The 12,204-nt window shown below is 39.0% G+C and overlaps 1 protein-coding gene across 53 annotated transcripts in view; it reads left to right on the plus strand.

The window, feature by feature from the left end:
- Positions 1 to 12,204, plus strand: part of IFT88 (intraflagellar transport 88) — a 124,288-nt gene that overhangs the window by 57,031 nt on the left and 55,053 nt on the right. For 51 of the 53 annotated variants that reach the window (NR_134653.2, NR_148462.2, NR_148464.2 and 48 more), the window contains 2 exons: positions 1,563 to 1,662; positions 6,829 to 6,915. Coding sequence is in view for 47 of the 53 variants with exons in the window: in XM_047430655.1 (XP_047286611.1) it covers positions 1,563 to 1,662; positions 6,829 to 6,915 (187 nt within the window). In the remaining 6 variants the exon portion in view is untranslated. Of the gene's footprint in view, positions 1 to 1,562; positions 1,663 to 6,828; positions 6,916 to 11,949; positions 12,048 to 12,204 lie in introns of all 53 variants that reach the window. The other 2 variants (NR_148463.2, XM_017020775.2) reach the window with 1 other exon arrangement.

The raw sequence follows: 12,204 nt of genomic DNA on the forward strand, positions 1-12,204 counted from the left end.
TCATGTCAAGTTTCTTAATGTTTTGTTCAGACCTCTTTTTTTTTCTTACATTTACCAGTTTGTTATAATAAAGGATTTTGCAAAGGATAGTGATGCAGGGATGCATAAGGTGAACTATGAGAGAAGGGGCATGGAGCTGCCATTTCCTCCCTGGGCGCCACCCTCTAGGAACCTACACGTGTTCAGCTATCCGGAAGCTCCCCGAACCCTGTCCTCTTGGGTAAAAGGAAGGCTAGTGACTTCAGCATTCCTTCCACCAGGGTTTTGGGTGAGACTCTCATGTGAGGGCCACAAACAGAAAGGCAGGGGAAGGTCAGAGGCCTGCACTTGAGGCCTAACATCCCCATTATACCAGAAGACTCTAATAAAGGCTATGGGAATTATGAGCAGGAACCATGGATGAAAACCTATATATATATCATAACACCACAGGCCACCCCCTGATTTTCAACCATGGATCCTTTATATAAATTCTCTCTCTCTCACACACAACACACACATTAATAATTAGTTCAGTCCATCATACTGTGTGAATGTCTTCCAGGAGGAGGCCACTCAGTTTTGCAGGTTTCCTTACACTTGCTCAGGCTGGAGTGCAGTGATATAAAATGATATATATTTATGGTATACAAAATGATGTTTTGATACATGTACACATTGTGGAATTGCTAAATCCTATGCATTACCACACATACTTGTTATTTTTTGTAGTGAAAACACTTAAAATCTACTCTTAGCAAATTTTAAGTATATAATATATTATTAACCATAATTCCCTTGATGTACAATAGATCTCTTCAACTTATTCCTTCGTCTAACTGAAATGTTGTGTTCTTTGACCAATGTCTTCCCAGTCCCACCACCCCCTATCTCTTCTGTTATTGAAGTAAGAGTCGTGACCCACTAAATTGATTTCAATAACTCAGTATGAAAAATGCCAGTCTTGATGCAGTGAGTTTGGTATCAACAAGAATTGGGTTCAAATTCTTAGTTGACACTCATTTTCTACCTTTGTGATCTCAGATCTTCCATTTTCCTATCTATAAAATAAAAATAATCCTTTTAGGGTTGTTGTGAGGGTTAAACGTATTAATGCTTGTAGAGCAATTAGCACTGCCCCTGTTATAGAGTAAACAGCAAATATTTTGTGCTTTTATAAAGAGATCTATTTAAGTTGGGACACAAAAAATTAAATATATTCTACAAGTTCTGTAGAATTTTTCTCACCCTGAGAGCATTTAATATGGAAAAATATGTGGAAACTGTCGTCTGTTACAAATTGTTATAATAGTTAATTCAAAAATGAGAATGTAGGTATCAGTCCAATTTTTACTTAAAATGATTAGACATTAAAATAGGCTAATGATAAATTGGATAAGAAAAGTAATTTAGAACTGAACACTTCAGTAACTGAAAACCTGTGTTGGAGCAAATCGAGTGCTTACCTTTACAGAGTACTAGGGACCCTTTAAAAAATCTTTGAAAAGCCACATTTAAGAAAACCAACAGCATCAATATACTAAAACAAAATCAAGTAAGGTTTTTTATGCTTTCCCTTATAGGTGCGTGGAAGTGGTGAAAGCTTCTCAATATGTAGAGCTAGCCAATGATCTGGAAATAAACAAAGCAGTTACATACTTGAGACAAAAAGACTATAACCAAGTAAGTTTTAAAAAAAATTTTAGATGGAATTCCATATCTTAATTGGTCAAAGCATTAAAAACAGGTAAACTCCTTTCTAGAATAATGTTATCTGTGATTATTCTGAAGTTGAATAATATTTTTATTTCTATTTTATGTTAATTTTCATTAAAATAGTTTTAAACTTTTATTAATTTTTGCCTGTTTGTCGTTTCTTTTTTTTTTTTTTTTTTTTTTTTTTTTTTTTTTTGAGATGGAGTCTCGCTCTGTTGCCTAGGCTAGAGTGCAGTGGCGTGATCTACACTCACTGCAAGCTCTGCCTCCCGGGTTCACACCATTCTTCTGCCTCAGCCTCCCGAGTAGCTGGGACTATAAGCACCCACCACCATGCCTGGATAATTTTTTGTATTTTTAATACAGATGGGGTTTCACCGTGTTAGCCAGGATGGTCTCGATCTCCTGACCTTGTGATCCGCCCGCCTCGGCCTCCCAAAGTGCTGGGATTACAGGTGTGAGCCACCGCGCCCAGCTGTTGTTTCTTAAAATGTAAATACTTTCTTTGTATAGCATGGTTGCTAAATTATAAACCATATTCTATTCCGGAGATTAACTTTCCCCTAGAGGTTTTCAAAGTGTTCCCCAAAGCATAAAGTTTTTAGGAACACTGATTGTGCTAGGGAGCATGGGAAGCCAGGAGTCTGCCATCCTCACCAGAGCAGCTTCCTTGTAGTCTGTTTTATGTGTTTGGTTTCCTCATTGACACTGCATTGGGATTGGAAGGGTCTCATGGCTGTATGGGGTTTTAGAACCCCGCAGATCTCTCACTGGCACTGCTGCTCTCTTGCTAGCTTGGGTGGGGGGTAGAGTGGGTGCTCCCCCTTCAGCAGTCTCTCAATTAGGACAGAGCTGACACACAATCAGGAGGCTTAGACAGGTGTAAGAAAGAGGGATAACCAAAGAGAGTAAACAGAATGACGTGATGTCCTAGTCTGTAACACCAGTGGTTAGTGTCATTATATGTCAGCAACTAGAAAACTCAGCTCTTCCCAGTTAGATCCAGAGAGCAAGGACCAGAGAAAGCTATAGCATCTTTCCCACATCCTCTCCCAAGCCTATGCTTTCAGTTTATCTTCCTATTTAGAGAACTTTTTGCTCTGGGAGACAACAGAAAGGACTAACAAAGGAAGTGGGGAGAACATTATCTACTAAAGAATATGAGAGTAGAAAAAAGCAACCCCAGTGTTCACGAAATAAATACATATAATTAATGTAGTACCATGGGGTGGTTCCATTGCATATGTTAATTTACTATGCTTAATTTTTTGAGCATTTACAAAACATTTGAAAAAGACTTTTCAAAGTATCTATCCTGTCATTTAATCATCACATCCTTGGTCATGAAAAATGCCACCAATGACTCTCCAACATTGTTGTAATGCTTTTTACATGGAAGTGACGTGAATCAAATTGGTTTTTATTATCTTGCTAAAGTGCTATATGGACAAGAATAATTTTGTGTGTGACATGTACTGTTATGGATGACAAAATGGAGAAAACCATGTCTGCTAGTTTTCCTTTGACATTTTATTTTTAAATGATCTTTTTAGAAAGGGTTAAGAGGCCGGGCGTGGTGGCTCACACCTGTAATCTCAGCACTTTGGGAGGCCGAGGCAGGTGGATCACCTGAGGTCAAGAGTTTTGAGACCAGCCTAACCAATATGGTGAAACCCTGTCTCTACTGAAAATACAAAAATTAGCCGGGCGTGGTGGCATGCGCCTGTAGTCCCAGCTACTCGGGAGGCTGAGACAGGAGAATTGCTTGAACCCAGGAGGCAGAAGTTGCAATGAGCTGAGATCCCACCACTGCACTCTGGCCTGAGTGACAGAGCGAGACTTCATCTCAAAAAAAAAAAAAAAAAAAAAAAGGTTAAGAATGCATTGCCATGGCTCATGTTTTAAAACTATGTTCATTAAGCAATAAACACTCTAATTTTTTAATGTTAAAACCTGTTGAACTCAGATCTTACTATCTGTGCTTTCCTAGCTCTTCTTGTTCAAAATATCTTCTGTTCCATTTGCATTTTCAAGTTTTTAATATCAATTGGTTTACTGATTTTTTTAAAATGCCATTTCTGCTTTCTTTTCATCATTGCTGCTTTCACTCTGTCTTTCTTTTGTTTGTATATTGTAAGTATTATGAGGTAGGTATAATACAATCTTAGTTTGAAAGAAATATTATTAAGTGAAAAAGGATTGGGTTGACGTATCTCATAATAATCATTTGATGGCAACTACTTTATTTACAATTCAAAGTGAAAAAGAAAAATTTATGCCTTCTGTGAGGATATAGTTCTGGAGTTAGCTCTAAATACTTTTTTTTTTTCCAAGAAAAAGATGCTGAAATCACAGAGTATGGGTCTTTTTGATAATGATGGTGTTTGTAGCCACTTTTGTAATAGAAAAAATAGACTCTGCCAAAAAGCCCAAAGTGGATGAAATGAAGCCATTGGCCTGGAGGCTCAGCGGAATGCTGAAGCCAGGAGCTAGATGGCATCAGCTGGGAAAGGAGACCAGGACAGACATAGATCCCTTTTCCTCATTGTTTTCAGGGAAACAAACAAGCTAACATTGTTTATTTTTATTTTTTGTTTTGCCATTTAGAATGAAATTTAATTTTGACTGAACTTTTATCAGTTCCATTTATAAATAAACTTACAATATTTTACTTTTAAAAACATATTTTATGTAGATTTATGGACATGTAGAGAACAGTTATGAAAACAGCCTATTTCAAAACAAAAACTTGAGCGAAAAAATACCCGAGTGTTCCTTTTATTAGAATAATTATGTAGCCTTTTTAGAATAGATCATAGTTTAGAAACGTATAATATGAAGTGTTATTACTTTGTCAAGTGATACCCATTTAGGATGTTTTAAGTTGTAAATACCTTTGCCAAGTTTTTTAAGTAATGGTTTTGGATTGCACTGCTTTTTGGATTCATAATAACCATTTTGGGAGAAAATAGATTTGATGTTAAATATAGCCTTAAAGTATTGTTATTAATGAGTTACAATGTATATATCAAAATTTAAAAATTTAACACATTTCCTTGACTATAATGTAAATGGCCGCTTCTAAAAGGAATGATACAAGGGACTATAACACTCCTTTTTTTAAAAAAAAATTGTTGTTATTGCTTGTTAGCATTCTTTTTGTATTGTTTTATGGATGTTGTAAACATTAGAGAATAGCTTTCTTTTCCTGTACACTTTGGAGAGTTTAATGGTTGTATGAGTTACACCTATTCAAGTGCCTTATATTTTAAAGTAATACACCATTTATTATGACACAGTCTAAAAGTGAAGATTAGACTATCTCAATTCTTATTTAAAGTGAAATGCAGCTTATAAAACCTAGAGATTCAAAACAGTGGTGGCTTTTATATTAATAGCTATGGAGGTTGTATAAAGCATCAATGAGGTAGTTTCTATAGGATAAGCAATATTAGCAGCAATCATTTTTGAGGTAAATTTAAGGAACTTGTGGCAATGTTATAAGATCTTTCCAAGAAAGTAAATGATAGAATCTTGAAAGTGAGGATATGATGTTTGGGTTTTTCTTTTCCAGTGTTTACTTTGTAAACTACTGACCTAGAAACTTCCATCAGTTTTCTTTGAAGTCATCAAAAACCCTTTAAAAGAATAATTTGCTTGGCAACTTTATTGTGCAAATAATAATAAATAAAAGAATAACAGTTTACTCATATTCTAACCAAAGTATCTGAAATTGAGTATTTTAAAATCTTCTGTCCTTCAAAAAAATTGAGTCAGTTTGCCTACTGGTATTTCATTTGAGGTCAAACACTGCACAGCCCACATCTCAGAATCTGTCAGAGATTTGCAACAACTGTAGCTGACAACCATTATAAAAGCTAACACAGTTACTTTTGCTTCTACATAACTGCTTTCTAGGAGCAGGAGGCACCAAGAGTCAAGCATCTTCTAATCAGTAAATATATTTTAAAAGAAGGAAGGAAGGAAAACCCAGTGCCTTTCTCTACCCTTGTTTTTTTCTTTCTAATATTCTGTAGCAATTTCTAGGTTGAATACTCATTCACCTTTCATGTAAAGTGTCTGACCGTTCCACACATCTTACTTGGTTAGGATTATCTCAGACCTGCCAGGTAGTTAAAAACATACTTTCATTTCTCATGATTTAAAAATGTAATTATATTTGGATCTACTTTAGATCACTTTTTGTAACACTCCCAGAATTATTTTCTGTTACTGGTTTTGAAAAATTCTGTGCCATTTTTCCTTCTTGGCCTTCTGAAACTCCAATTACATTTCTATTAGACCTTTTCATTATGCTCCCGTAAGTCTCTTGTGTTCTTTTCTAGGAACATTTTTTAGCCATCTATTTTGCCATGTTTCATTTAGTCTGAACATTTTCTGGGACCTTGGCCTTAAAGTCCTGTTTGCTTTGCTAGCTCTACAGTGCCTTCAAAAAATATTTTTAGTATTTTCTATAATCTTTCTAGTTGTTCTCTGTCAAAGAATGGTCTTCTATAGGCTAGTCAGTCATGGCCAGAAGCAGAAACCTAAGAATTATTTTGTAAAGATCAAATTTGATCACATCTCTTAGGCAAAACCTTTCAAGGCCTCACTGCCCACCCCATTATGCAGAATAAACACTCAGCTGCATCACATGACTCCCAAGGATCATTATTATTATCATCATATTTTTATTTTTTTAGAGAGAGTCTCACGCCTATGCCCAGTCTAGTCTCAAACTCCTGACCTCAAGCAATTCTCCTGCCGTGGCCTCCCAAAGTGCTGAGATTATAGGCATGAGCCACCATGCCCAGCCTTCCAAGGCTCATTATTTACTACTGACCTTTCTTCCAGTCACCAGGTCTCTCTTCAGCTGTATCTAATCTGCTGTTAGAACATCTATGTTTTCTTAATTATATTTTTAATTCCAGAATTTCCATTTTATTCTTTTTTATAAATTCTAATTCTCAAATGAAATTATCTTCTTGTAATCTGTTTTCTTGAACATCTTAATCCACCCCTTTTGTGCCCTTCCCTGGTCTTACCCTTCAGGAACACTGATCTTTTCCCCGACCATAAGCTTGAGTACTGTCATATTACAGTGGTAGTAACCTTCAGATATTCCATTTCTAGGCTGTAGAGATCTTAAAAGTGTTGGAAAAAAAGGACAGTAGAGTGAAAAGTGCAGCTGCAACCAATCTCTCAGCCCTGTATTATATGGTAAGTTTTTTTACTACTAAGAGTTAATCATATGCTATTTTTATATTGCTAAATTTCTGCCCAAGGATCATGCCTAGGGAGAGGTCCAAAGAATATTGGTGGAGAATGGTAAGTGGACTGAGGAGTATAGAGGATCTGATCCTGACAAGTGCCAGGCCAGGGGCTGAGTTGGCAGACATGAGTGAGAACACCATCTCTGAAGGAGAAGGGAGGAAGAAAAATTGTAGTGATAAGCATCGCATCATAGATTATGCAACATACAGCTGGAAGAGCTAGAGATGTATTTCAACTCCTTTGTGTTATTGGTAAAGAAAGTGACATCTTAGGTTAAAAGATTTATGTAAGGTTACAGAGTATCAACTCTAACAAGCATTTATTGAGCATCTCACTGGATGCCAGTCATGGGAATACCAAAAGTCTAAAAGCTCCCTAAAGGGGAGCGTTCTTGTCTTTGGAACAAAGGAGGTAGACTAGGAAGGAAGGTTTAAAGTAGAGAACAATAAACGAATGCAGATAATAAGTGCTTCAGAAATTCAGAGGAGGCAAATAACATTTTAATTTAGGACTTTCAGGAAAGATTTCATAGAGAGTTGGATCTTTCAGGTCAGAATATAGAAAGGGGCATTTGTAGGGAGAAGGGGACGAAACAGAAGTACAGAGGCAAGGAACTGCTGGGAGGGAAGTGTGTATAAGAGTCATTTCTTTTCACCAGAAAATACAGAATTTCTGGTAGGCTTTTTCTGAATATTGAAAATTGATTATAGGTAGGTGTGGTGCCTCAAGCCTATAATCCCAGCACTTTGGGAGGCTGAGGTGTGTGAATCACTTGAGCCCAGGAGTTTGAGACCAGCCTGGGCAACACAGTGCCTGTCTCTACAAAAAGTTCAAAAAATTAGCTGGGCATGATGGTGCATGCCTATAGTCCCAGCTACTCGGAAGGCTGAGGTGGGAGGATCACCTGAGCTGGGGAGGTCAAGGCTGTTGTGAGCCATTATCGTGCCATTGTACTCCTGTTTGGTGACAGATACCTTGTCTCCAAAAAAAAAAAAAAAAAAATTGTAGATTTTCATTTGCCACTTTGAGAACCCATACGATTTTAAGGGCTGGAAGTTAGAAACAACTGATCTGTGTGATTTTTCAGTATCCTTTTCAATTCTGTCATTCTATGATTCTTAGAGGAAATGATCCGAGATTTAATTCTGTCCTGCATGTAGAAGAAGCCTATAAGAGCTTTCCTTAGGAATAACTGTTCATGCTGAGGTTGCAGGGCCAAGGAAGGGCCCAGATGAAGGCATGGAACCCAGACCTCACCATCTACCAGGGTGGTAAACTATTATAAGGCTACCACAACTCCTTAACTCTGCCTTAGCCACTAACTCGAATTTCCAGCGTCTTGGGTTTTGCTTACGTTTTGCTCAGAATAATGGCGTGGGAATGGTCTTTAACAGATTTCCAAGAACTGCCCTTATTGTAAGAATATTGCATTATCCAACCCCTTGTTTAAATTTACTGTCCTGACCCAACTGAAATATGAAGCCTTCCTGACTCTCCTTGGCAGATAGTCTCACCTTCCTTTGTGCTCCTAGAATATTTTGTTTGTACTTACAGCATTGTATTTTAATGGTTTATATGTGATTCTTCTTCATTAGACCATCAGCTTCAGCTTTGTGTTGTGCACAGTGCCCTGTTGATGACAGGTGCTTATTAAACACTTCTTTACTAACAAATGAGAAAAAAAGTCATATTATTTTGTTAAACCAAGTTTCTAGTCCCTCTTAGAGCTTCTGATCTGTGCACCATTGAGAAGCACTGCTGTGCTGAATTGCTGTTGCTAGTGGAAAGGTATCATATCCCTCATATATGTAAAGATGAAGAAAGAGATCCAAACCCCTGGTTGAAGAATGACTCCAGTGCTTCAATCTACTGGTAGGAGAGTGGTACCAGTTAGTTGCATGTCTAGAGGAGGGTGCTGATTGGGGGAAAAGATGTTGTGTTTCTTTTTAAATATATTTAAACATTTTTTGTAATGATGGAAGCAAGTAGACAGAAGGTGTATTAGTCCGTTCTCACACTGCTATAAAGAAATAACCGAGACTGGGTAATTTATCAAGGAAAGAGGTTTAATTGACTCACATTTTTGTATGGCTAGGGAAACCTCAGGAAACTTATAATCATAGCAGAAGGTGAAGGAGAAGCAAGCACCTTCTTCACAAGGAGGCAGGAAAAGAGAGAGGGTGGGCCTTTGTACCCCCACCCCAGCCAGCCATTGGATGTGGCCTGCCTCCCAAAAAAGGGTCACCTCTAGGAAGGGGGACAAGGTGCCTCTGTCTTCCACCCAGTTTCCAGAGAGGGCTGCCTGCTGAGGCTGGTGGCCAGTAGCACCTCCAGCACCTCTGACGGGCAAGTCCATGGCGTGAAGCATGGTGTCTATCATGGCCATTAAATTTTGAATTTAGAAAATCACTAATGAATTTTTTGACCCAATTCGTCACCAAATCTTTATACCAAGTTTGACGACTGTGCAGGAGGAGACCAATAGAAAATTTAAAGAAGCAAAGAGAATTGTTAGATTTAATCAACCAAGCAGAGCTATTAGAGCATCTCATCAGCAATTTCTTATACTTGGTTCTGAAGAAAATGGTTGTAATCAAGAATGTTTTGAGGCCAAGTGATGAGTCTGCTATGTAGTTTTATATGATATGTAGTTGAAAATATATTGCTGGTATCCGGCATATAGTTGTATCTGTTTTCTCTTGCTGTGTAATGAACTGCCCCAAACCGTAGTGGCTTGAAATCACCAGGTATATGCTTACATTCTACCCAGTGAGCTGGGTTCACCTGGATGCTTCTTTTACTGGGCTTGCCTGGCCTTACTCATGCAGCTGACATCCTCTGAGGCATGACTGAGACTGGATGTTCCAAATTCCTACCTCATGCCTGTCACTTAGCTGAACTGTTGTCCAGGGCAACTCAGTCTTCCCTCAGAGCATCCCCAGCAGGGGATCCCAGCCTTCTCAGGTGGGACTGGGTTCCATGAGAGCAAACCCCAGTACACAGGTGAGTATTAGGTTCTTGTGCGCATTGAGTTTGTTATTATTTTGTTGAACAAAACAAACATGAGAGAGAATCATACCTGAATGAGTCGTACGTGAATCCTGGGAGGTGTGATCCACTGGAGTCATTATTGTAATAATCTACCACTGCCTGCACTGAGACCCCAGTTATTCATATCCCTCCCAAGACTCTGAGTCTCATTCCACCACAGCATCAGGCTCAAAGGCCAGGATCTACATCAGGTCTGGATAGAAATGGGGCTTTCTAGCTGGGTATGGTGGCTCATGCCTGTAATCCCAGCACTTTGGGAGGCTGAGGCAGGTGGATCACTTGAGGCCAGGAGTTCAAGCCTAGCCAACATGGTGAAACCTCGTCTCTACTAAACATGGTGAAACCCCGTCTCTACCAAAAATATAAAAAATTAGCCAGGCATGGTGGTGCATACCTGTAGTCCCAGCTACTCGGGAGGCTGAGGCATGAGAATTGCTTGAACTTGGGAGGGCAGAGGTTGCAGTGAGCCAAGATCGTGCCACTGCATTCCAGCCTGGGCGACAGAACGAGACTCCATCTCAAACAAACAAAAAAAAAAAAAGAAGAAATGGAGCTTTCTCAGGAACAATTTCTTCTTGATCCAAAGATTTCTTTATTTTTTTTTTTTATACTTTAAGTTTTAGGGTACATGTGTACAACGTGCAGGTTTGTTACATATGTATACATGTGCCATGTTGGTGTGCTGCACCTGTTAACTCTTCATTTAACATTAGGTATATGTCCTAATGCTATCCCTCCCCCCTCCCCCCACCCCACAACAGGCCCCGGTGTGTGATGTTCGCCTTCCTGTGTCCATGTGTTCTCATTGTTCAATTCCCACCTATGAGTGAGAACATGCAGTGTTTGGTTTTTTGTCCTGGCAATAGTTTGCTGAGAATGATGGTTTCCAGCTTCATCCATGTCCCTACAAAGGACATGAATTCATCATTTTTTATGGCTGCATAGTATTCCATGGTGTGTATGTGCCACATTTTCTTAATCCATTCTATCATTGTTGGACATTTGTTCCAAAGGATTATAAAACATGCTGCAAAAGACACATGCACACATATGTTTATTGTGGCACTATTCACAATAGCAAGGACTTGGATCCAAAAATTTCTGAATGAAAAGACATGGCACCTGTCCCATCATACATGCAACATACCATGGAGATATAAAGACAGGATAACTGTAAGACACTCATCCCCAAGGGGAGGGATGGAGGCACATCACAGTCACTATCCTTAATGATTCTGAAACCTAGCAAAGCAGGTGTGGCCAGTGCTCCCTAGTCTGAGAAAAACGAATATTCCTTGATTAGGGCCCAGCTCTGCTCCCTCGGAGTGGCCCCCTAATTCTTTGTCCTCTGTGGCTCTTGGCTCGGCCTTCTGAGAGCATCTTCCTTTTGTATAAGAAATAGCCTATGTTTCAGGAACAGAAAACCAAACACCGCATGTTCTCATTCATAAGTGAGAGTTGAACAATGAGAACACATGGACACAGGGAGGAGAGCATCATACACCGGGGCCTGTCGGGGAGTGGAAGGCAAGGGAAGGGAGAGCATTAGGACCAATACCTAATGCATACAGGGCTTAAAACCTAGATGACAGGTTGATAGGTCCAGCAAACCACCATGGGACGTGTATACCTATGTAACAAACCTGCACATTCTGCACATGTATCCCATGTTTGTTTTTAACCTAAAGTAAAAAATAAAAAAAAAAGGAAAGAAATAGCCTGTGTTTGCAGCTGATTAACTTTCTCAGCCTGTGTTCTGCCCTGAGACATTTGGGGCATAGAGGGCTTTTTTCATTTTGGACTATATCTGTCCCTTTAATCCAAACTAGCAACAGTCAGCACAACTCCCCTAAAAACTTGGAGGGTTTTCTCTAAATCTTGTTGGGCTTTCCCACATGTCTCAACAGCTGCATCCATAATTCTTTTCAGGACAGACCCCTTCCCACTAGGTGTGTAGGCTGCTATGGAACAGAGCCTTGAAGTGTCTTAGAAGCCCACTTCGCTACCTGGGAGAGAAGGTCTGCTAGGTATGACCTTAAATCTTTGTGAGATGTTTACAAAAGGTGTTACAGCCACACCTTTGAATTGTTCCCTAACCTGCCACCATCTGAGAATCTTGTGCCACCACAAGAAACTGGAGACATGAAGTAATTTTATTTTCTACCTTAGCAAGTCCTGGTTCTT

This window comes from Homo sapiens, chromosome 13, assembly GCF_000001405.40.
Source record: "Homo sapiens chromosome 13, GRCh38.p14 Primary Assembly".
In the NCBI taxonomy this organism is placed as follows: Eukaryota; Metazoa; Chordata; class Mammalia; order Primates; family Hominidae; genus Homo; species Homo sapiens.